Here is a 23,143-nt window from a genome sequence, read left to right as displayed (position 1 = left end):
AAGGGAAGTATTGTAAATGGCTGCTGAATGCCCCATAGAATGAATTCTCCACAATTATACAACCATGCCTTCTTTTGCCTGGTTTTCAAATTTCTCTATTGGTAAACATTTTTGCATCTGATAATCTCATTAAGTTCCCAGGCTGGGCACAATGGCTCACATCTGTAATCCCAACACTCCTGGAGGCTGAGGCAGGAGGATTCCTTGAGGCCAAGAGTTCAGGACCAGTTTAGGAAACATAGCAAGACCCCAGCTCTAAAAAAAGTTTTTTAAACTAGCCAGGTGTGGTGGCACATGTCCGTAATGCCAGCTACTCAGGAGGTTGGGGCAGGAGGATAGCTTGAGCCCAGGAATTGGAGGCTGCAGTGAGCTCCAACTCACGGCAGATTGCAATGCCTGCACTCCAGCCTGGGTGACAGAGCAAGACCCTGTTTCTGAATCAAAACAAAACGAACAAACAAAAGATAAATTTCCAGAGAAGGGAATGATGGAGCAAAGAATGGCACTAAAGTGTATGCATGTCTGTGTGTTTAGAAAATCTGGAAGAAAGGATGCTTAAGTGTCGACAGTTGCATTCTTTGGGGGCATGGGCAACTGCTGTGAATGGTTTGCTGGCTGTTTTTTCACATTTCTGAATTTTTCATGTTTCTAAATTTAGAATGTTGTACTTTTTAATTTAAATTAATTAATTAATTACTTTTTTTTTTCTTGAGACGGAGTCTCGCTCTGTCGTCCAGGGTGGAGAGCAGTGGTGCAATCTCGGCTCACTGCAACCTCTGCCTCCTGGGTTCAAGCAATTCTCTGCCTCAGCCTCCCAAGTAGCTGGGATTACAGGTACCTGCCACCACACTCGGCTCATTTTTTTTTTTTTTTTTTTTTGAGATGGAGTTTCGTTCTTGTTGCCCAGGCTGGAGTGCAATGGCACAATCTCGGCTCACTGCAACCTCTGCCTCCCGGGTTCAAGCGATTCTCCTGCCTCAGCCTCCCGAGTAGCTGGGATTACAGGCATGCGCCACCATGCCCGGCTAATTTTTGTATTTTTAGTAGAGATGGGGTTTCTCCAAGTTGGTCAGGCTGGTCTTGAACTCTTGACCTCAGGTGATCCGCCCTCCTTGACCTCCCAAAGTGCTGTGATTACAGGCGTGAGCCACGGCACTCGGCCCCGGCTAATTTTTTGTATTTTTAGTAAAGATGAGGTTTCACCATCTTAGCCAGGCTGGTCTTGAACTCCTGACCTTGTGATCCACCCGGCTCGGCCTCTCAAATGCTGAGATTACAGGCATGAGCCACTGCGCCTGGCCTAATTTGTTTTTTTTTTTTTTTTTTTTTTTGAGACAGAGTCTCGCTCTGTTACCCAGGCTGGAATACAGTGGCGCAATCTTGGCTCACTACAACCTCCACCTCCCAGGTTCAAGTGATCCTCAAGCCTCAGCCTCCTTTGTAGCTGGGATTATGGGTGTGTGCCACCATGCCAGGCTAATTTTTGTATTTTTAAAAGAGACAGGGTTATGCCATGTTGGCCAGAATGGTCTCGAACTCTTGGCCTCAAGCAATCCACCTGCCTCGGCCTCCTAAAGTATGGAGATTACAGGTGTGAGCCGCTGCGCCAAGCAGTACTTTTTAATTTAAAAAAAAAAAAAAGTTTTATGGCAGCGCAGCGGCTCACACCTGTAATCCCAGCACTTTGGGAGGCCAAGACAGTGAATTGCTTGAGCTTAGAAGTTCAAGACCAGCCTGGGCAACATGGAGAAACCCCATCTCTACCAAAAATTTAAAAATTAGCTGGATGTGGTATTGTTCACCTATGGTCCCAGCTACTCAGGAGGCTGAGGTGGGAGGATCATTTGAGCCCAGGAGGCATAGGTTGCAGTGAGCTGAGATCTCGCCACTGCACTCCAGCCTGGGCAACAGAGGAAGACCCTGTTTCAAACAAAACAAAACAAAAAATACACAACATTTTATCTTGAAATAATTTGAGATGTGTGATAGATGTTTTGTTTTTGAAACCAGGAAGATAGTATTATGGATGGGGGTTGGGGGGATAGAGAAAGGGGATGGGGCAGGGGCAGGCAGGAGATCCTACCAGGATCTCTGGGCAGTGTCTATGCTGATCTGGTGGGGATGGTGATGGAGCCCCATGGGAGGGAGCTCACAGGCCTCCTGGAGGAAGAACAGGCCAGGCTGGCTGTGACTTGCGCTTCACATATACAGTTTTCCCTGAGTGGATGCTAGTATCCCCTCCGCTTGACAGGTGGGAAAACTGAGGCACGACCTGTGAGCAGGCTTCCTAGGGAGGGACACTGGAGGAGACCATGACATGCCTGACAGGGGATGCTGCTCGCCGAGTCAGTTCAGAGCTGCCCTGTGGGTTCACTGAGGGTGCGAGCATGGGGTGCGGGGAAGGAGGTGGGGAGGGTGGGATGGTGGTTGCCTGGACTGGCCTGTGGCAGGGAACAACCACCCAGGAGGGAGCTGCTCACCCACCTTGGCCTCCAGCACCTTCAGCCGCTCTGTCAGCTCTGACACTTTGCTGCAGTTGAGACAACCTGCGGGGAGGGAGGAAGCTGGGGCCAGGGCCAAGGGTCCTAGGCTTCCCCTCAGAACCCTTCAGTCTCTGGGGGTTGGGATGGAGGAAAGCGTCAGATACCTGATGACCCCAACCCACGAGGGACCTTAGGCTTGGGAAGGGCTATAGGATCACAGTGGGTCCAGGGGGACCTCACCCTATGGGTTCCTTTTGGCACTGGAGCCTCCAGAGTGGCCTGCTTCTCCGGCAGCAGGACCAGGGACCTGACCCCTGGCAGCCTCTGTGTCCAAAATGACCCTTTTCCCAGAAGCCAAGAAATGGCAATGGGGCGGGGGCCATGGATGAGGCTGAGGACTTCTCCAGCGACCCCAGCCAGCCTCATGGGCTAAGAGTTTAGAGCTCAGACAAGCCTGGGTCTGAGCCTCGACACTTACTGTCCCGCGTGACTTGTCCTCTCTGGAAAGATCCTGTTGCTTCCTGCCTGGGCAGGGCTGGGGCCAGGGCTTGCCGGCTTTGGGGACCCACCCAGCGCAGTCTGGACTGGGCTGGCCTCAAAGGTCCCAACCTCTGAGCCTCCCCTGACCCACCATCCAGCACCGCTCCCCCGGCCGCCTGGCTGAGACTCACGAGAATGACATGAGTCATTCACAGCAGCTGTGGACATTTACAGAGCCTCCCAGCTGCTGGCCCAGCCAAGTGCTATGCCAGCAGTCTCTCCCCTCCTCACGGGAGTGTCACCCCTGTTCACACCTGAGGACACGGCTCAGAGCAGGAAGGGGTGAGTGCCTAACTAGCACAACATCTGGGGTCTAGTCCTGGTGCTGCCCCCACTCCTGGCTGTGGGGCCTGGGGCGGGGCAGGGCAGGGAGGTCGGAGACCTTCAGCTTCCTCCTCTTTAAAAAGGGGACAATGGGCGGGCAGTGAACAGCTGTGAGGTCTAAACGAGCTGCTGATGGGAAGCGCCTGGCACAGGGCCTCCAGCACTGCTGATGCTCAGAAAAGTGCTGATTAAATAAAAAGGGGAAATGGGGGATTGAACTGGCATCTGCAAGAGTCCAGGGGTCATGGGTCTCAGGGTGTCTGGGCCCAGGTCAGATGACCCTCTAGGGTCCTTTCTGTGCCCCTTGAAGCAACTTTTGTAGCCTGGGGAGCATGGGGTGGGAAGATAGTTACTGTCCTTGACCCTCCACTGCCAGACCTACTGGCTTTTAGGACAGTTACCAAACTGCCCTGAGCCCCCTCCAGGGCTCCCTCAGCCCAGGGGGACCTCAAGAAGCTATCCCAGGACCCACCTGAGAAGGCTGTGGGCCGAAGCGCCATCCGCCGCATGGTACTGCCCGACCACATGGGCTCCAAGGAGGCAGAGGAAGCTGCAACTAAGGGATGGAGGGTGAGAGCCCTGCTGGCATGTGATCCTTGCCTCCTCAGGCCCCCCTGCCCACCACTGTAGCCCCAGCAGGGACCCCTACTGCCCTCAGCGTAGGACACAGAGGCCCAGAGGAGAGGCAATGTATCTGGGTCAAACAGCATGAACTGGGCTGAGCTAGAGCAAGGCTGGCCACCTGATAGGGCTGGAAAGAGGGGCTGGCAATGGGGCGGGGGCCATAGATGAGGCTGAGGGCTTCCCCAATGACCCCAACCAGCCTCATGGGCTAAGAGGTTAGCGCTCAGACAAGCCTGGGTCCGAGCCCTGACACTTACTGCCCTGCATGACTTGTCCTCTCTGGACTTATTTTCCCATCTGTAAAATGGGATTCTAAGGCCTCTAAACCTCCCAGGCTGGGGTGAGGCCTGAGGTCGGCCATGAATGCAAAGGGCCCACTGTGCACACACAGGGACTGGCACACACAGTAGGTGCTCAATAAATGGCCGCCGTGGCTGTCGCCATCCACACTCTTGCTGCCTGGCTTGGTAAGAGGAGACTGAAGTGGATTCAGCCCTGGTTTTAAATGAAAACCAGAGGGAGGCTGGCTGCCTGGGAGGGCAAGGGGAGCCAGTTCCAGGGCCAACCCCTGCTGCCACCCCTACCGGAGGAGAACCCCCCTCACCCTCCCCAGCCGCCCTGGCTGGTCTGGTTTTGGGGGACTGGTTTTCTCCACAGCTGGAGGGATGGACTGGCCAAACCAGGGGCGGGGGCATAGCTGGAGAGGCTGTGGAGCCAGCACTGGCAACTGCCCCCCTCAGCCCCCCAGGCCTTCCTTTTAAGGCCACGAAATGTTGTCTGGGAGGAGACAAGACCCAAATAAGGCGCGGGCCTGGCAGCTCGGAGCGGGGCTGTGGGTTGATGCAGGGAGCGAGAGGCGCCGGGAACTCAAACCAGACGGGTCCCTCTGGCCAGCCCCCAGCGGAGGCTGCCAGGCCCTGCTCTGGGTCCCATTGTGGGGCCTTCACTCGTGCTGAGCCTGCATCCCCAGCATACCCTCCTCAAGGGCCTGTGACTTGCCCAGGCACAGGGGGCTAATCTCACCCAGGATGGAGGAAGGTGGGTTGCCAGCCCAGGACTGGGGCCGGCACTGGGGACTCCCTGGGGAGGGGAGACATCACTGTGAACCATGCTCATGTGAAGGACCTTGTATAGCCTGGCTCAATCCTACAAGGAAGGTGATAATCAGAACAGACAACTCTTGTTTAGCATTTACCCTGGCCCTGGCACCATCTAAGCACTTCACATACATAGTCTTAACTGTGAGTGGGTGCTAGTATCACCTCCAATTCACCTCCACTTTCCAGGTAGGGAAACTGAGGCACAGGGCAGCTCTGTGCTACCTCTTCTCTGTCACCCATGCTCAGATAAAGGTGGATGAGAGAATGAAGCTCAGCTCCACTTCCCCGCTAGGAGGAAATGAGGCAGAGAAGAGAGGCAACTCGGCATCAGTTGTCCACGGGACAGTCCCAAGCCTGGATTTGAACACAGGTCTGCCTGATTCCAGGGCCAGATTTCTTTTTTTGGTTGGTGGAGGTGGGGGGCACCTGGCAGGGAGGCTCAATGTTCAGCAGGAGCGCTGGTGCCTGAGAAGAACAGTCTCACCAAGCCCTCTTCATTCTTTCTGCTTCCAGGTGGAGATGTGATGTCATTTTAGTACTCTTTTTGAGAAGTTGACCAAAAGAAGCGGCCATCTCTTGCAACCTGGGGATATTTGAGTTTCCTCTGTGATGAAGCTTCGGCTGCTCCCCCCACCTGCTTCTGCCCTCCCCTCTACTCTGCTGTTGTTTTCTTTTTTTTCCCATTGCATTATCTACCTTCTAGCGTGTTATTAACTGCTCCAGTTTCCCAGGCCACTGCCTGTCATCTGGCCTCCTGGCTGGAACATCAGCCCCACTAGGGCAGGGACCTTGTCTGTTTTGTGCTTGGCCTACAAAAGTGCCCAGCACCCAGTAGGACCTCATGGGCCTCATGTATAAAACTTCTTTTTTTTTTGAGACGGAGTCTCGCTCTGTCACCCAGACTGGAGTGCAGTGGTGCAATCTCGGCTCACTGCAACCTCCGCCTCCTGGGTTCAAGCGATTCTCCTTCCTCAGCCTCCAGAGTAGTTGGGACAACAGGAGCGTGCCACAATGCCCAGCTAATTTTTGATATTTTTAGTAGAGGTGGGGTTTCACCGTATTAGCCAGGATGGTCTCCATCTCCCGACCTCGTGATCCACCCGCCTTGGCCTCCCAAAGTGCTGGGATTATAGGCATAAGCCATCGCGCCCGGCCATGTATAAAACTTTTGTTGATGAATACATGAATCACCAACTGAAAATAAATTTTGAGCAAGCAAACCAAATATAAGGCAGAAACAACTGTCTTGAAAGTCAACATAGGCCAGGCACAGTGGCTCACGCCTGTAATCCCAGCACTTTGGGAAGCCGAGGAGGGTGGATCACCTGAGGTCAGGAGTCCGAGACCGGCCTGGCCAACATGGCAAAACCCTGTCTCTACTAAAAATACAAAAATTAGCTGGGGGTGGCGATGCGTGCCTGTAATCCCAGCTACTTGGGAGGCTGAGGCAGGAGAATCGCTTGAACCTGGGAGCGGAGGTTGCAGTGAGCTGAAATTGCACCACTGCACTCCAGCCTGGGTGACAAAGTGAGACTCCTCAAAAAAAAAAAAAAAAAAAGTCAGCATAAATGGGCCAGGCGCAGTGGCTCACACCTGTAATCCTAGCACTTTGGGAGGCTGAAGTGGGCAGATTGCTTGAGCCCAGGAGTTTGACACCAGCCTGGGTAACATGGCAAAACTCTGTCTCTACAAAAAATTTAAAAATTAGCTGGGTATGGTGGCGCATGCCTGTAGTCCCAGCTACTTGGGAGACTGATACGGGAGGATAGCTTGAACTTGGAAGGTCGAGGTTGCAGTGAGCTGTGATTGTGCCACTGCACTGAAAGAGTGAGACCCTATCTAAAAAAAATAATAAAATCAGCATAAATGTTTTAATGTCACACTAGAGTGTCCCTGAGTTATTAATCTGTAAACTTGTGGTTGGAAATTCTTTTTCAACCAGTTTGTTTTCAGCGTTTCTCCAGGGACCAGAAAGAATTAGGAAAACAAATAAAAACATGGTCTGACCAGCAGCATAGACATCAAATGCTCAAAGTAATTGCAAATTTAAATTAAAAAAAGAAAAGAGTTTAAAGAAATAACAAAACTGTTCAAAAGACCAGAAAATTTTGGCTTTGGATTCAAGATTCACAAAAAGTTATCCAAAAACTCCCCCAAAATTCTGAGAAATGGACAGAAACATTTTAAGGGATGTAGCAGGTTGTAAAACGACCCTGTAGCACACAAAATTCCAGTAAGGAAGAAGCCACAGGTTGTGGGGAGATCTGCTGTTGGACAAAATGTCATATCCTGGCCGGGCGTGGTGGCTCACTCCTGTAATCCCAGCACTTTGGGAGGCCGAGGTGAGCAGATCATGAGGTCAGGAGATCGAGACCATCCTGGCTAACATGGTGAAAGCCCATCTCTACTAAAAATACAAAAAATTAGCCAGGTGTGGTGGCAGACGCCTGTAGTCCCAGCTACGCGGGAGGCTGAGGCAGGAGAATGGCGTGAACCCAGGAGACGGAGCTTGCAGTGAGCCGAGATCGCGCCACTGCACTCCAGCCTGGGCGACAGAGCAAGACTCCTTCTCAAAAACACAGAACAAAACAAAATAAAACAAAACAAAATGTCATATCCCTCCCATTGGTGTTTGGTCAAAGGCCCTGAAACAGGCCCCCATGAGCTGAGACCCTCCTCACCTCAGCCTGGTGGTTCCTACTGAAGGGCTCCTCCCTAGCCTCAACCTTGTCCTCTCAGGGGGGCCCTGAAGGCTGGTCCCAGGACCACAAACCCCAGCTCCACTCTGGGAGCCTGACTGTGGGCCACTTCCCACCATCTGGGAGGCCCTCACGTGCCCTACACACACACACACACACACACACACACACACACACACACACACACACACACACACACGTTCCCACCCCATGCCCTCCCCTAATCTCTACAGCTGCTGCACCCATGTCACCTCCTCCAGGAAGCCTTCCCAAACAGGCCAGTACACCTCCCAGTGTCAAAGCCCCTTCGAAGCTCATCACTCCCTGTCTTGACCTCCACATCTTGACCTCCACACGGCCAGTGTTGCCTGTAGTTTCTAGCCCTGGGCCCCATAAGCAGCTCTTCTTCCCTCTGCCCAGTGCCAGGCCTGAGCTAAGAAGCTTTGTGCCCCTTCTCAGGACCCTCATGACACCTCATGACACAGAACACTGAGGTCCAGAGAGGAGAGGCTTCCGCTCTGTCCTTGCAGTGGGACGAGGGGGGCTGGGATTCCAATCTTGCCCTAAATTGGGGATTAGAGATGTGAAAAGTTGGGGATTCGGGGTGTGAAAAGCTGGGGGTATCCCTGGGATCCACCTTCATGACATTCTCTCCCTGGAGAGGAGCCAAAGGGCTTCCTCGTTCACAACCGACCCCCGAGATCTGCTCTGCTCGGTTTAGTAACCACAGGCCATAGGGAGGCAGCCTTCCCAGCCCCAGTCCAGGTCTCCTGCAAGGAATTTACTTTGCAAATGTAAATATTTGCTTCCAGTGACCAGAGCCAGGGGTTAGGGTCGGAGCTGGGGCTGGGAGCTCCAAAAACTCTCCAGCCCAATCAGGAGCCTCCAGGAAGGCTTAGTCTATGTCCGGCCTGGCCTCCTCCTCAGGGTAGGCAAAGTTCCTATTCAATTCCTGTGCACTCACTTTATACATGGCCCGTGCCAGGCACTGGGGATGTGGGAGTAATGGTGGCAGGATGGGGGTCAACCTAGCCAGGTGGGAGCACCCAGTGGGTTGCAGGCAGAGCAGCGACTTGCCGGCCACTGCCAAGGCCGTGTATGGGAGACAAAGCCAGTGTGGGCAGGGGGTTCAAACAGAAGGAGGGTGAGGTTCAGGGGATGCAGGCAGGGGCTGAGAGAGTGGAGGAGGCAGCCATGTTGGCTGGGCGTGCAGGATGGGCTGGCAGGAGGTGGGGGTTGCTGGGACTTCCAGGAGTGGGGGTGGCTGGGCGGTGGATGTAGGTGGATTTGCAATGTTTAGCCCTCGGATTCTGAATCTGCAAAGTAAAGCTCAGACTTAGCACCATACCTGGAACCTGGTTAAGATGAAAGAGATGAGTGTGGAGAGCGCCCAGCCCTGGATGGTAGAAGGGACCAAGGAGCACAGGAAGGGCCTGGGCTAGAATCTCAGTCTGTTTTTAGGCTATTTTAAAATTTTATTTTTAGAGACAGGATCTTGCTCTGTCACCTAAGCTGGAGTGCAGTGGCAGGATCACAGCTCACTGCAGACTTGAACTCCTGGGCTCAAGCAACCCTCCTGCCTCAGCCTCCTGAGTAACCAGGACTATAGGTGTGCACCACCATGCCCAGCTAATTTTTTAACTTTTTTTTTTGAGATAGGGTCTTGCTATGTTGCCCAGGCTAGGCTTGAACTTCTGGCCTCAAGCAATCCTCCTGCCTTGGCCTCCCAAAGTGCTTGGATTACAGGTGTGAGCTGCTGTGCCTGGCCTGTTCTTAGGCTATTTTGTGGTCGACCTCGGGCAAGTGTCCCCTCTCTGGTTCCTCTTCTTGGAAGACAAGGGCTGTGAGGAACCATGGACAGGGAAGGAATATGTATGCTGGGGACAATGGGACCTATGAGGGGGAAGCAGAGGCAGCCCAGCTCCAGGGGGCCCATGGGGAGGGGAGGGGAGGGAGCCCCGGCCTCTCTATCTTTCTATCTAGGAGGAGCTGGGGCTGAGACTGGCTTCTGCCAGCCTCACAGCATCCCAGCTGTCTGAACACACTCCCGGGGACATCCTCAGCCAGCACTGCTGCAGGGGAAAGACCCCTGACTGCAGTCAGACTGACCGGGTTTGAGCTCGGCTCCTCAGCTCACAGGCTGCTCCCCTGGACAAGGCATTCCCCTCTCTGAGCCTCAGTTTCTGCATCTGGGCCTTCTGTACCATGACTTGATGGCTCCTGCAGGGGGTAAACCTTGCAGCGCCCAGCACGGAGGACGGTGGCAGCTTTCTTTCTCCTTGTCCTGATTATTGCAGGAGGATCTGGGGCAGGGGGATGCCACAGAACTCAGGTCGGCACCCTGGGGAGAAACCTGGCGACAATACTTGCTTGCTGTGTGACCTTATGTGAGACCCACGCCCTCTCTGAGCTTCACTTTCATCATCCGGACAGTGGGGCTGATCTGTCTGCAGGAAGCCTCAAGAGGCAGAGTGACATGGGGTTTACTGCAGCAGCCCCAATGTCAGCAGAGCCCACTGGCCCAGGCACTCAGGGGTCAGGCCCAGGCCCAGAAAAGGTGATTGTGGGGCTCGGCCCGCCCTCCTGACATGGCCCTGGCATTGCGCCCACCCCTCCCTGGCCCACTTGGTGCATTCTGGCCTTGGTTCTTCCTCACCCATTGTTTCTGATAAGCCCTATTGTTTCTGATGAGAGGCAGCCAGGTGACCCCTTCCCCACCTCCTGAGGCCTGGGGGCACAGAAGCTTGCTCAGACAGGTCCCAATCCTGGCTCTCACCTGCCGAGTGACCTCAGGCCAGTCCCATCACCTCTCTGAGCCTCAGTTTCTCCATCTGTAAAATGCAGCCCATTCTAGCCCCTTCTCCACAGGTTGCCATGGACACCAAATGAGACAATCCTCATTCGTCACAAAGTGAACATCCCCATTCTGCAGAAAACCAGGGCCCAGTGCCGTGAAGTCCTTCACTAGAGCCCACCAGCCTCACAGAGACTCAAGGTCCGTTTCTTGAGCAGCTGACTGTGAAGTGGGGTCTCAGAGGCGGGAGGCAGGGCTGTGTCTGCCAGGTCGCCACGGAATCCCCAGCATGGGGTAGGCGGTGGGGGAGCAGGATGGGAGAGGAAGACATTTGCGGAGCATCTACCATGAGCCAAGCATGAGTGCTACTTCTTCATGCTGGGTGACTTCCAGATAAAGCCAAGGTTCAGAGAGGAGAAGTGACTTGCCCCAAGTCACACAGCAGAGTGCAGCTGATTTAGGGCTGGATTCCAGAATGGCAGGTGTTCCCTCTCCTCCTTTGGCCCACCCCAGGCTGCCCTGGGTCCTGTTGGCCCTGGTGATGCAGCTCTATGGCTCGAGGGTCAAGAGACAGCACTGGGCAGGTGACAAGAGTGGGCACCAGCAGGAGAAGCAGCTTGGGAGCCCAGCCTGAAACCAACTGTGGGAGGAAGGGCAGAGACCAGGGTCCCCTGGCAATGTCCCTATGCCTCTCTGCTCCCCATTCCTAGGACCCCAGCAGAGTTTTCTAGAATAGTGGATGCATCCACTCACCCACCTCCCTTTCCTCCATAGGCTCCAACATTTCATCCTAGCAATACCCAGGGAGGCAGACTCTTATCATCCTGCCCATTTCCCGGGTGAGGACACTGAGGCTGAATGTGGACGAGCCGGGGCTGCTGCAGGCACACACAGCAGCTTGGTGCCTTTTAGTGATGGTGCCTTTCCCTCCGAGTGGGCATGAGAAGAATGCTGCCTGGAGTGCAGCACCCCCAAGCCCAGGGCCCTTGCACAATGACTTGCACAAGCACGGGAAGTCCCCGGCCCAAGGCCATGCAGCTGGTGTGTGGCAGAGCTGGCCCAGCCTAGGAAGCCTCAGATATCCCATACCCACGCTGGGACCTGAAGGCCCCACAGAGGGAGCTGGCCTGGCTCCATTGCCTGGCTCATGCCCCTGCCTTAGCATCAGCAGAGCCCCCAGCCCTTGGCCTGGCTCCTGGACTCACGGCCTCCAGCAGCTAGATTCAAGGGCATGGGTGCTGTCCCCACCTGTCCTCTCCCTCACCAACTCCTTGAAGGCCCCAGAGACCAGGAAGGTCTGCCCTTGGGAGGGGAGCCAGGGACAGAATGGCCTTTGTCTGGGGAGGCTCTGCCTGGGCCCAGGCGGCCCCCATGCCCTGGGGATTCGGCCCTCCCCTCCACAGCTCCTCTGTGGTCTCCTTGGCAGCTGCCCCTCCTGGCTGGCTCTCCTGCCCCTCGGCCCCACCTGCCTTCCCCTCTCCCTCCCACCAGGGACAAGAGGGTGCTGTTCCTGGCTCCCCTTCAAACGTCTGTCCACCCGCTCCAGCCTCCCACACTGGCCCTTGTGGCTGCCTCTCCGCAGGGGTGTTTGGCATGGGGCGTCTCAGCTCTCCCTCTAGCCACCCGGTTTCTTCCCGGCTTCACTGGGTACTCCTCTACCCCATGTCAGAACCTGCCAGACCCCTCCCCACTGCGTGGTGAGTTCTGAACCCCATCCCCATGGCCGTGTGCCTCTGGGCACTCCACTCCACCTCACTGGGCCTCAGTCACCCTATCTGTGAACTGGGCTGTTGAGGGTCCCCGGGAGGTGAAGTGTGCAAATCTCCCAAGAAACACCTGTGAGCCGTGGCTTCTGGAAGCACCATGTTCCTTTGAGTCAGAGGCTACATTTTCGCACATTTGTGTTTCCGGAATTGGGGTATATCCTGAGACTGATGTTCACGTTCATGTGCTGCTGTGGGGGCCCTGAATGCTTCTGTCCCTTGAGCTGTCTCTGGGCCTGGTTCTCAGGATGGTTCTGGGCCAGCCCATCCTCTTTAGCGCCATGCTTGGAAACACAGCTCTTGGTGTCCAAAAATCTGCTGCTCATGGGTTCAGCCAGGCAGTGAGGATGGGAGAGGCCTGGGCTGCTCAGCAGAGGGGCAGGTGCCTGGAGGAGAGGAGAGGGTTCTGCAGGGGAGAGTGTGGCCAGGCTCCTGGGAGGCCCAGGCTGCCTCCTCTGTGCCCCTGCAGGGTGCTCAGCCCTGAGCCACCCAGAGGTACACACAGTGAAGCCAGGTGGGGTGAGAGAAGTCCCTGAGCCTGGGACATGCTCTGCACACAAGGGCCCAGCCGAGCCCTCCCATCCCTGGAGCCCAGGGGTGGGGGGGCGGGGAGTGCAGCCTGGCAGACAGACAGAGGTGTGTGCCCCTCCCCTTCCTGAGCCTCGGTTTCCTCATCTGCAGGATAGGTAAAACCATTCTTACCTCTCTGACCCATGAACTGACTAAAATGGTTCTTTGCTTCTCTGTAATGTCTGTTATCGTGTCATACAGAAATGTCTGGATGGGTTTTCCCCGAGTGTGGAGGAAAGATTTAGGATAGCATGACTTAAAATGTGAGCTATGCAGCATATATAAAATTCTTCTGGGGGTCCTGAGAGTCTCCCAAGAGGCAAGCGGTCACCGTGGGGGGCAGGGGGGACAACAAGCACTGACTGTGTCTGAGCCAGGCTCTGTGCAGCTGGCCCCAGCAGGCATGGTACTGTGCATGACTCTCTTAATAGTTCACGGCTCCATGCACCTGCAGGGAGGCACCTGGCCTGCTGTCGCAGGGCTCCGGGAGCCGGCCGGGCAGTCCTACCTTCCTCGCAGCTCACTCCTGAGTGCCCAGGGCAGCACCTCCACTCACGGGCGGTCACTATCTTGTACATCACCTTGTATGTGGGTCTCACCACAGTTCTGTAGCTGAAAGAGTCCCCAGGTGGCCCAGCTGAGACAGGGTCCTCCATGACCTCTCCCACTGCCCTGGACACCCATGGGGACAAACCTAGAGCTTCCAGGATCCTCTGCTGCCTCCAGGTCCCTTTGGAGGCTCTCTCCTGCATTTTGGGATTCAGCCCTTCCATCCCCCCACCACCTTGCCACAGGGATTGGAGATTGGATACCAGCTGGACAAGAAGACCCTGCAGGCTGGGCTGGCCTGAGCCCAGCGTGAATACTCACTGAGTAAAGGAATGCAGGCAAATGGTGTATCCATCCCTCAGGAAGCCCTCCAGGGTGCTTCAACAGCACAGGGGATAGGCTGAGAATGGTGTCGGCTGATGCTACCTTTGCTCCGCCCACCCTGGGGTCCAGTCTTCCCCCACACTCCCCATGCAGTCCCCCAACCAGGCCTTTGCCCAAACTGTGCCTCCACCTGGAATGCCATCAGTTCCTTCTCCACCTCATTTACCTGCTCCCCGGACAGCTCATGGGCCAGGGGCAGTTCTGCAGCACTCGCTGAAGGTAGGTGCCATTCTGCACATGGCATGAGATGGTGCGGGTCACCACATAGGAGCACCAGTTCCTGAAACAGACCCAAAGAGAGGAAACTCAGGTACCACACAGGGTCCCCTGCTGGGGACTCCAGGAGGATGGGTGAGGACGTCCGTGTTCTCTTCAAGAGCCCTGAATCCCCAGGCAGCGAGAAGCCCTGAGCTTGCAAAGTCATTTGGGCCCAAATGGCTGGGGGGAGTCCCTGTGGCTGAGGGGTGAATGTCATGGCCCTAGGGGTGGGGCTGTGCAGAGAGTTCTCAGTAGGTCTTGAGGAATGAATGGCAGGGGAAAGATGGAAGCGGGCCATCTTCCCCTGAGCTCTCGCTCCCCAACTTCTCTCCTCTCCAACTTTGACCCATCCAGGCCATCATCACTGCCTGGCTCTTGCCTGGACAACTACAGTGAGTGGCCTCTCCATCTGCCCCTCGGTCCCTCCCTAGAGGCAGTGTCACAGAATGGAAACCTGCCTACATCCTTGCCTTGCCTACCCAACTCCCCAACCCTCAGGATCTCCTGTACCCACACCTGCCCCAGGCCTTTGCTGGTGCTGGGCCCTCTGCCTGGAGTACCCTTCCTCCGCTTCTCCCCATGGCGCCTCCTACCTTCAAAGCCCAGATGTGACATGGCCTATTCCCTCCATCCTTTCCCATCTCCACCCTGACCCGAGCAGTTCTGATGGTGCCCTGCCCTGGCTCCCGCAGCATCTGCACACCTGTCACGCTGAATTAAGCTGCCAATTTGTGCCTGCCCCCTCCGCCAGCATGCAAGAGGAGAGGCCCTGTCTCACCCATTCCCATGTCCCCTCCGTGGAATGGCTGGGATGTGTAATCAATGCCCCAAGCCCAGAGGACTGAGTTCTCCAAACACCAACTAATAATCGGAGTGCACTGCACATATTGAGCACTTATTATATGCTAAAGGTATTTACACTATCCTCTGATGGTGAGGAAGGTACCCCCACCCTGTTTTTACAGAGGGGAAACTGAGGCTTGGGGAGGTGAAGACAACTGCTTATGTCACAGCTGGTGCGTGGAGAAGCCAGATTTGAACCCAGCAAGGTGGATGGCCTAGCCCAGCCTCTGACGCCATCCCAGAGCCTCAGCTCCCGTCTTCTCCTCATCTCCTTGAGCCACGGTCTGTGGCTCTGTAAACGCCCCGGCCTGGGAACCTGCTGACCCCAGGCTTGAGGGCAGGAAGAAAGTCTGGGAGGGGTGGGGGACCCAGGCTGAGAAGGGTCACCTGAAACCATCCCTCCTTCCCCAACCCCTGCAAAAAGCACAGGGCCCGTGACCCTGTGCAGGGCTGAGGGCTGCTGAGCACCTGGAATGTCCCGGCCTTCACAGAGACTCCCATGCCGACCACAGTGCAGCCCCCACTCGCTGCAGCCCTGCCCCCACCCCAGACCACCAGAAGGAGAAACTCCTGGGCCAGGACCAGGCAACTAACTCAATTTAGGGCCCTGTGGAATTCCCTTCATCTTTCTGTGCCACACCAGAATCAGTGCTGGAAGAGGAAACAACCTAGGTACAGCCCTGGAGGTGGGAAGGCTGGGAGAAGGGATGGTTCAGTTTGGCCCATGAAGCAGGAGAAGCTCAACAGAGCCTTCAGCCAGCCATCCCATGCAGAGGTGACAGGTGCCTGCCATGGCACCATCAGAAATGGCACAAAACTGGGAACAGCCTAAACAGCTATGGAGCCACCGGACATGGGAAACCAGATGCTGTGACAAAGCCCGAGGTCTCTGCGTGCTGACCTGAGACCCAGCTATCACACCTAGTTACGGGGAGGAAAAAAGCAGACAAAGACCAATGGATATACAGTGATTGCATTTCTATTACATTAAGAGAGAGACAGAACGTCAACTATTTCTATATGCGTGCACATGTACAGATATGTGCATATAAAGTGAGAAAAAAATGACACTTTTCTCAAACTGCCATGTCTGGGAGCAAGGAGGGCTTTCCATCTGCTCCGTCTACTACACGAACAGTAGCTATGTTTATCATGCTTGCTGCACGCCAGGAGCTGTGCCCAGAGCCGTCCACGTGTTCGCTCAGTTAAATTCTCACACTCTTATTAAAAAGCCACTTCAGGCTGGGCACAGTGGCTCATGCCTGTAATCCCACCACTTTGGCAGGCCGAGATGGGTGGATCACGTGAGGTCAGGAGTTCGAGACCAGCCTGGGCAACATGGAGAAACCCTGTCTCTACTAAAAATACAAAAAATTAGCCGGGTGTGATGGTGGGAGCCTGTAATCCCAGCTACTCAGGAGGCTGAGGCAGGAGAATTGCTTGAATCTGGGAGGCGGAGGTGGCAGTGAGCTGAGATCGCACCATTGCATTCCAGCCTGGGCAACAGAGTGAGACTCCGTATCAAAAAAAAAAAAGCCACATTACAGATGGGAAGACTGAGACTCTGGGGTCCAGGACGTGCCCCAGGCACCCATGATAGGCGGCACAGTCAGGGTTGGAACTCAAGTCCCTCTGGCTCCAGAGCTTGCACTCTCAACCCTAGGCTAGAAATGTTTCTCCTAATGAGTAGGTGAAGATTTCAGCCCTTTTGGAGGCTGAGGCAAGGAGGATTGCTTGAGGCCAAGAGTTCAAGACCAGCCTGGGCAACACGGTGAGAACCCCATCTCTATAAAAAAATTTTTTTTAATTAAAAAAAAGGGTCGGGTGCAGTGGCTTACGCCTGTAATCCCAGCACGTTGGCAGGCCAAGGCAGGTGGATCACTTGAAGATCAGGAGTTTGAGACCAGCCTGGGCAACAAGGCAAAACCTCGTCTCTACTAAAAATACAAAAATTAGCTGGGCGTGGTGGTGTGCGCCTGTAATCCCAGCTACTTAGGAGGCTGAAGCAGGAGAATTGTTTGAACCCGGGAGGCAGAGGTTGCAGTGAGCCCAGATCGTGCCACTGCACTCCAGCCTGGGCAGCAGAGCGAAACTCTGTCTCAAAACAAAAAAAACCAAAGGTGTGGTTTTGAACCTGTTAGGGTTGAATATGGAGAGTGGGGGCATAAGCCCCTTTAGAAAATTGCGGTGAATCGTGGCTCCTCTCCAGAAATACGCATAAAACTTGGTGTACAGGTTAAGGGGGTTCAGAGGCTCCTTGGAGCCTACGTGACACTCACCAGGCTGGCCCAGGGGCTTCGTGAGTGAAGGAGGGAGGGAGGAAGAGGACAATCTGGGCAGAGGACAGTCGGAAGCTCTGGAGACAGGAAAGGGGCCCTGGACACAGAATGAATACACTATGCCAGTGAGCAGATGCTCGCAAACACACAGTGCCTGCACACGCAAATGCACGCACACACATGCACACACAGGCACACAGGAGCAAATATGCATGGCAGTGAGCACGTACACACAGACACACACAGGCATATGTACACACAATGCATGGACACACATGTTCATGCATATGCACACAGATCCACACAAACACACAGATACACGCACACACATGCACACACAGGCACACAGGGCAAATACGCACTGCAGTGAGCACGTGCACACACACATAGGCATATGTACACACAACGCATGGACACACGGGCCTCCGTGTGCACACACAGATCCACATAAACACAGAGCTCCATACATGCACACAAACGCACACAGACAGGCTAAGGCAAATCCAGCAGGACACTTAATCACAGAAATGACCGTCCTCCCTGCACACAAGTCCATACCTGCAGATACAGGACTCTGTGCCCTCACACATTCACATACACACACTCATCGGCTCTGTCACATGGACATAGACAGACCAAAGCAGGCCCAGAGGGGCACACAGTCACAGTCAAACCTTCTCCCTGCAAATGCGTTCACACTTGCACACACACTGACACACCTGCACATGCACACACACACGCATGCCCTCTCGCATGGACGCATATAGGCTGAAGCTGTGATCTCTGGGCATGTCCACACACGGCCCCACAGTGCTCTCATTCATGTACATCCATGCACATGCAGGCACATGTGTACACACACACACACTTCTCACATGTACACAAACAGGTGAAGGCAGGCCCAGCAGGGTACTGTTGGCCATCTTCTCACACATATCTATACAGGCACGCACAGAGCCATCTGCCCTCACACACACACACGTGGACAACAGCCCTCACATGCCCAGCCCCCAGACTAGGCCGGGAGAGGTGGGCCTGTGATGGTCCACAATGGCCAGAGCTGTCCTTCTTTTTACCAGGGAGGAGCTAGAGAAAAAAAACAGTATTTTTCCTTCTTCTTCCTTAATTAAAATCTCTACCATTGGTGCTTGCCTGTAGTCACAGCTACTTGGGAGGCTGAGATGAGGATCGTTTCAGCTCAGGAGTTTGAGGCTGTAATGAGCTATATTCACGCCACTGCACTACAGCCTGGGCAATAGAGTGACACTTTGTCTCTTAAAAAAAATTGTTGGCCGGGCGCAGTGGCTCAAGCCTGTAATCGCAACACTTTGGGAGGCTGAGGCAGGTGGATCACCTGAGGTCGGGAGTTCGAGACCAGCCTGACCAACATGGAGAAACCCCATCTCTACTAAAAATACAAAATTAGCCAGGCATGGTGGTGCATGCCTGTAATACCAGGCAGGAGAATCGCTTAAACCCAGGAGGCAGAGATTGCGGTGAGCCAAGATCGCGCCATTGCACTCCAGCCTGGGCAACAGGAGCAAAACTCCGTCTCAAAAAAAAAAAAAAAAAAAATTTGCCATGTGGGTCCCTGCCTGGTTGCCATAATCTGGACTGTGCTTGAATCCTCTCCTTAGGAGACATGGAGCTGGTGGCCGGCTAGCCAGACCTTTTGGACAGGAGAGGACACTCATGCCATGTGGAGTTCAGGTTTAGTCCCTTGCCCCCTCCACCTGGGGATCACTAATAATTACCCCATCCCCCACCTTGAGGACCCCAGCCCCAGGACTCCTAGCATCAGCCCGAGCTCCTCCACAGGGTCCCAGCCTGGCCCTGCCACCCTCCTGCACCTCTATCCACCTTCCAGGGGTAGCAGGAGGCTCTTTCTAAAGTGCAGACCTAATGTTGCCACCACCCACTGTGGAGTCCGCAGCCCACCATGACTCCCTATAGCCCTGCAAGCGCTGCCCTTCACTTCTTATTCTGCTCACCTCTCCTGCACACTCATGCAGCCCCTCCTCCCACCTCTGATCTTAGCATATGAAGATCCCTCTGCCTGGAAAGCCCCTCCCTCTTGCTCCAGCCAACTCTTATTCATCCTTTGGGTCTCAGCCCTCAGGCCCAGGCAGGGGTTGGGCACCACCCATTAGCCACTCACAATAGCCCTGGGCTTTACTCACTCACGCAGGTGCTGGAGGAGGGCATGAGCTGGGACCAAGTTTGTGTAGGGCTCAGCCTGAGGACGCTCAGCGATGTTTGTTGAATGACTGAATGATGGAGAACAGGCAGCAGCTCCGGCCAGAGGAGCTGGGACCCGAGGTTTCCACAGATGAAGGGACCCATCCCCATGTGCTCCATCCCTGCAGCCCCTGGGGGCTTCCTTCCCTGGGGTGTGGTCATTGATAAGCTGCCCAAGAGCTGGATGAGGCTGGGCAGTGGGGTTGGTGAGGGCAGGGGCTGGGAAGAGGCGGCACTTCCCTCCTGGGCCCAACACTTCTGCCCACTCAGCACCTCCAGGCCCCCAGAGGCCTCCAGGAGGGGAGAAACAGGCCAGACCAGCTCAGCCTGGCACCGGCCACTCCCACAAAGGCCCCCCACCTACACCCACACTCCACCCCCTGCCACGAGGGGCCCAGGGGACTTTGTCTCTGTAGGGCCCAGGGCTGCGATCCGGAACAGTGATAGGGGCTAATTGCAGGAGGCAGCCAAGCGGGCCCGGGGCCAAGGGCTGTGATGAAAAGGAGAAGAAAGAAAGGACCGGGCGGGCAGGGGTGGTATGATGAGAGCCAGAGCCCCGCAGTAGGGGCGAAGTTCCAGTCCTGGCTCTGCTGCTTCCTACATCGGTGACCTTGGACAAGGCCCTGACCCTCTCTGGACCTCATTTTGTCCATCTGCAAATGGGGACAGCAGAATTTCCTCCAGCGGGGGAAGCTTCACTCAAATCCCTTAGCACAGCGCTAACAGCTATTGTTCATTCCTGTTCCGGGACTGAGGGGCTCAGGCCCAGACATGGGCCCCACACCCAGCAGCTTGGTCCAGGGGCTTCCCTGGGGATTGGGGACACCAGCACAGTACCTTCTTCACAAGGTCTTCCCCTTGGAATAGGGATTATCAGGTTCTGCATTTTACAGAGGGGGAAACAGGCTCCAAGAGAAAGCACCTACCCAGGTCACCCCTGTGGGCATCAGCTGGGATTGCAGCCCCCTAGACAGAGGCTGGGGCAGATCCCCTCCATTTTAGAGCCCTCCATTCTCCCTGATCCTAGGATTTGCCGGAAGGAAGCCGGTGCTGCAGGGGCGAGAGATCTGGGCTGGTGAAGGCTTGAACCCTCAGCTGAAACGCTGAGATGAGTGGTTAAAGGAAGCAGACTCCAGGCTTAGAAGGACCTCAGCGGGGCAGGAAGCAGCCCCAGGGGCAGGGGCAAGCCAAGGCAGCTCTGCATAGCCCTTGGGCACCCTGGTTCCGGGGGTCTCCAAGTGTCACCACCTTCCTGGGGCAAGGGGCGGCCCCCTGGATGCCTTCCCAGGCCACCCCCTCCCCAGGACAAAGCCTCTTTTCTGCGTCTGGTCCCTTGGCTGCCAAGGGGTGCCTGGGGTGCTGGGGTGTGGGTGGCAGGAAGGCTGACAGGGCATGACACCCCCATGCTGTCTCCAGCAACGTGGGGATGGGGCCACAAGTGGAGGTTCTGGTAGCCCACAGACTCCTCAAGCTCCAGGTCCCTACCCCCATGTGACATGATTGATAGCAGGAACCACTGCAGGTGAGGCCCGGTGCTGGTCCTTCCCACGAGGAAAGAAGGAAACTGAGAGCAAAACTGAGACCCATGGCCAGGAAGTGACCCACTTGAGGTCACACATCAAGCCTGTAAGAGCAAGGAATTCTGTCTCCATTCTGTCCAAGGCTGGAGCCCCTAACTCCTAATCATGACTGCAAACCTTTCCTGGTGCCCCCAAGCCGACAACCTCTTTCCCTCTTCCAGCAAGGCTGCTGGAGAGAAAAAGCCACTGGATTTGGAAATCGACTGGTCTGGACTGAGGTGCCACTTGTCCTCTGTAGGCCTCAGCCTCCGTATCTGTACAATGGGTGCAATAGTGTTGCCCACAGGGTTTTTGGGATGCTCAGGCTACTGTGATAGGCTTCTGTCAACACATGGAGTGACAGTCCCCAGTGACCACCAGATACCTGGTTATAGCCATCATCCTGTTCCCACCCAGGAGACCCTGGGAGGTGAGGAGCCCAGGCTGGGAAGCCCTGCCTTGAACTGGCTGCAGGGCGGTCTGGGCCTTAAGCTGTCGCCACCATCATCCTGAGCCTAACAGTGGGATTTCTGAGTTCATAGTCTCTGTCCTCTTAGCATCTGGGATCCTGGCGGCTCACTTCCATGCTCTGGGCAGGTCATGTTCCCTCTCTGAGCCTCATCTTCCTCCTCTATGAAACAGAATCATAAAGAGCATACCTCCAAGCAGCTGGGAGGATTCTGGAGCTGATGAATGCAGGTAACGGAGCCGACTCAGGCTAACTGTTGTCTGCACACAATAGGTGGTGGCTGTAACATCTGCCACACGTCCACCCCTGTCTCAGACAACTGCTCTTCTGGCCTCTGATGCTTCAACCACCTCCGTCCTCCAGCCCTGCCCATGTCAACTGCTCTTGCTAGCCCAGCAGGGGCATGCTGGCCCCTGACCACTGGGAAAGGAGAATTTCTGAAAAGAATTAAAGAATTGAGGCCGTAGGGGGTGGGGGCCGCGCAGGCCTTTGAATGGGATGAAAAGGCCTGGAGAGGCCTGGCTACTCCACATTGTCTGCCTTGGACAACGGCGGCTGGCCTTTAGGAGGGGACCCTCGCTGGGGCTGCAGCCAGGACAGAGGCCAGGACAGGTTCAAACACTGTCATCAAGGATAGAAGGGCAGATTTGCAACCTAGCTCTTCAGTGAATAGCCCATGAGGCTAAAAGATGATGCCAATTCCCTAGGGTCTCAGTTTGCTTAACCGTTGAATGGGGACAGTTTTCCCTACCTCATTCGGTCCTTCAAGGATTGATGAGGACACTATATATAATAATGGGCCCCACCATGTCAGGTTCTGGGAGCTCCTCCGTAAAGGCCAGCAGGGAGGAGGTTCCCCGCCGCTAGGAGAGCAGAAGGAAGACTGTGCTCCCTCTTTTCTCTGTCCAAAATGCCAGGTCCCTGGGGTATCTCCGACACTGACCCACTGGGCTGTGAGACTCCACCCCAGTCCCTCCTCCGAGGGAGATAAATAGCCTGGGTACAAAACAAACAAACAAAAAACAAAACAAAGCAAAAAAACAGGAACAGGGAAAAGGGGAGAGAGGGTCCGAGAAGAGTCGGCTAGGGGGTGTCATAGGCCTTTCCCAAGTGCAGGGGGAGGGGCCCTAGGGACAGGGGAACAGAAGGGCCAGGGCTTCGCCCTCGTTGCGCCCCTTCCCCCTCCTCTCGAGCTCCTGGGTTGAAAGGGAGGGAGTAGGGGAGGCAGCCAGCTCCGACACATGGAGTAGGGGACCCCGCACTCGCGGGAGCCTCAGCCGGACCGCGGGATGGCCGTGTCCCTGCCCTCACCCGGGCTGGGGACTGGATCGCCCTCCAATCCCAGCCCTTCCTGGAGGTGGGGGCGTGTGCGCGCCGGGACCCTCGGCCAGCGGGGTGCAAAGGCGCCGGGAGCTCTTACCTGCGTCCGGAGAACGGAGCTGCCCCGATGCTCCACGCAGCGCCGCCTCCCGGGAGCAGGAGCCCGAGGCAGAGCAGCGCCCAAGCCCGCGGGCCGCCCATGCTGCACCAGGCGCCCTCCGCGCGCGGCCCCTCGCGGTCGCCGCCCCCAGCCTGTCCTCCCCGCCTGCCTGCCCGCGCCGCCAGCCGCCCCGGACGCGCGGAGCCCGGTTTCCAGCTCCGCGGCCGGAGGGCGGGCAGGAGGCGGG

The 23,143-nt window shown here is 55.7% G+C and overlaps 1 protein-coding gene and 2 long non-coding RNA genes across 20 annotated transcripts in view, besides 10 other annotated features; 1 reads left to right on the top strand and 2 right to left on the bottom strand.

Annotated features, from left to right (window-relative positions):
- EMID1 (EMI domain containing 1) overlaps positions 1 to 23,140 on the bottom strand; it is a 53,702-nt gene extending 30,562 nt beyond the window's left edge. For 11 of the 18 annotated variants that reach the window (XR_937808.4, XR_937810.4, XM_011529869.4 and 8 more), the window contains exons 1-5: positions 22,897 to 23,140; positions 13,997 to 14,110; positions 13,406 to 13,509; positions 3,820 to 3,903; positions 2,485 to 2,546 (exon numbers count right to left, since the gene is read on the bottom strand). Coding sequence is in view for 15 of the 18 variants with exons in the window: in XM_011529869.4 (XP_011528171.1) it covers positions 2,485 to 2,546; positions 3,820 to 3,903; positions 13,406 to 13,509; positions 13,997 to 14,110; positions 22,897 to 22,997 (465 nt within the window). In the remaining 3 variants the exon portion in view is untranslated. Of the gene's footprint in view, positions 1 to 2,484; positions 2,547 to 3,819; positions 3,904 to 13,405; positions 13,510 to 13,996; positions 14,111 to 22,896 lie in introns of those variants that run through there. The other 7 variants (XM_047441133.1, XM_011529871.4, XM_047441135.1 and 4 more) reach the window with 3 other exon arrangements.
- On the top strand, positions 3,206 to 5,628 carry LOC105372985 (uncharacterized). The gene is made up of 3 exons (XR_001755481.2): positions 3,206 to 3,305; positions 5,318 to 5,441; positions 5,585 to 5,628. It is a non-coding gene; the product is annotated as an uncharacterized LOC105372985 (long non-coding RNA).
- Positions 4,855 to 5,356: an enhancer, noted in NCBI's record as "H3K4me1 hESC enhancer chr22:29619669-29620170 (GRCh37/hg19 assembly coordinates)". NCBI's record gives its function as "activates a minimal SCP1, AML or CMV promoter by ChIP-STARR-seq in primed H9 embryonic stem cells {active_cell/tissue: H9 hESC(primed)}" and the evidence as "EXISTENCE:reporter gene assay evidence [ECO:0000049][PMID:30033119]".
- LOC124905099 (uncharacterized) lies at positions 9,225 to 12,709 on the bottom strand. Its single transcript, XR_007068058.1, has 2 exons — positions 12,401 to 12,709; positions 9,225 to 10,073 (listed from the first exon to the last, which is right to left on the bottom strand). It is a non-coding gene; the product is annotated as an uncharacterized LOC124905099 (long non-coding RNA).
- Positions 10,257 to 10,836: an enhancer, noted in NCBI's record as "H3K4me1 hESC enhancer chr22:29614189-29614768 (GRCh37/hg19 assembly coordinates)". NCBI's record gives its function as "activates a minimal SCP1, AML or CMV promoter by ChIP-STARR-seq in primed H9 embryonic stem cells {active_cell/tissue: H9 hESC(primed)}" and the evidence as "EXISTENCE:reporter gene assay evidence [ECO:0000049][PMID:30033119]".
- Positions 10,837 to 11,416: an enhancer, noted in NCBI's record as "H3K4me1 hESC enhancer chr22:29613609-29614188 (GRCh37/hg19 assembly coordinates)". NCBI's record gives its function as "activates a minimal SCP1, AML or CMV promoter by ChIP-STARR-seq in primed H9 embryonic stem cells {active_cell/tissue: H9 hESC(primed)}" and the evidence as "EXISTENCE:reporter gene assay evidence [ECO:0000049][PMID:30033119]".
- Positions 11,997 to 12,576: an enhancer, noted in NCBI's record as "H3K27ac-H3K4me1 hESC enhancer chr22:29612449-29613028 (GRCh37/hg19 assembly coordinates)". NCBI's record gives its function as "activates a minimal SCP1, AML or CMV promoter by ChIP-STARR-seq in primed H9 embryonic stem cells {active_cell/tissue: H9 hESC(primed)}" and the evidence as "EXISTENCE:reporter gene assay evidence [ECO:0000049][PMID:30033119]".
- Positions 12,577 to 13,156: an enhancer, noted in NCBI's record as "H3K4me1 hESC enhancer chr22:29611869-29612448 (GRCh37/hg19 assembly coordinates)". NCBI's record gives its function as "activates a minimal SCP1, AML or CMV promoter by ChIP-STARR-seq in primed H9 embryonic stem cells {active_cell/tissue: H9 hESC(primed)}" and the evidence as "EXISTENCE:reporter gene assay evidence [ECO:0000049][PMID:30033119]".
- Positions 13,157 to 13,736: an enhancer, noted in NCBI's record as "H3K4me1 hESC enhancer chr22:29611289-29611868 (GRCh37/hg19 assembly coordinates)". NCBI's record gives its function as "activates a minimal SCP1, AML or CMV promoter by ChIP-STARR-seq in naive H9 embryonic stem cells {active_cell/tissue: H9 hESC(naive)}" and the evidence as "EXISTENCE:reporter gene assay evidence [ECO:0000049][PMID:30033119]".
- Positions 13,737 to 14,317: an enhancer, noted in NCBI's record as "H3K4me1 hESC enhancer chr22:29610708-29611288 (GRCh37/hg19 assembly coordinates)". NCBI's record gives its function as "activates a minimal SCP1, AML or CMV promoter by ChIP-STARR-seq in naive H9 embryonic stem cells {active_cell/tissue: H9 hESC(naive)}" and the evidence as "EXISTENCE:reporter gene assay evidence [ECO:0000049][PMID:30033119]".
- Positions 22,706 to 22,765: a silencer, noted in NCBI's record as "silent region_13587". NCBI's record gives its function as "represses an Ori minimal core promoter by ATAC-STARR-seq in GM12878 lymphoblastoid cells {active_cell/tissue: GM12878}" and the evidence as "EXISTENCE:reporter gene assay evidence [ECO:0000049][PMID:35858748]".
- Positions 22,786 to 22,945: a silencer, noted in NCBI's record as "silent region_13586". NCBI's record gives its function as "represses an Ori minimal core promoter by ATAC-STARR-seq in GM12878 lymphoblastoid cells {active_cell/tissue: GM12878}" and the evidence as "EXISTENCE:reporter gene assay evidence [ECO:0000049][PMID:35858748]".
- Positions 22,956 to 23,045: a silencer, noted in NCBI's record as "silent region_13585". NCBI's record gives its function as "represses an Ori minimal core promoter by ATAC-STARR-seq in GM12878 lymphoblastoid cells {active_cell/tissue: GM12878}" and the evidence as "EXISTENCE:reporter gene assay evidence [ECO:0000049][PMID:35858748]".

The sequence above is a fragment of the Homo sapiens genome, chromosome 22 (genome assembly GCF_000001405.40).
Source record: "Homo sapiens chromosome 22, GRCh38.p14 Primary Assembly".
In the NCBI taxonomy this organism is placed as follows: domain Eukaryota; kingdom Metazoa; phylum Chordata; class Mammalia; order Primates; family Hominidae; genus Homo; species Homo sapiens.
This window is presented reverse-complemented; position numbering and strand designations above follow the sequence as displayed.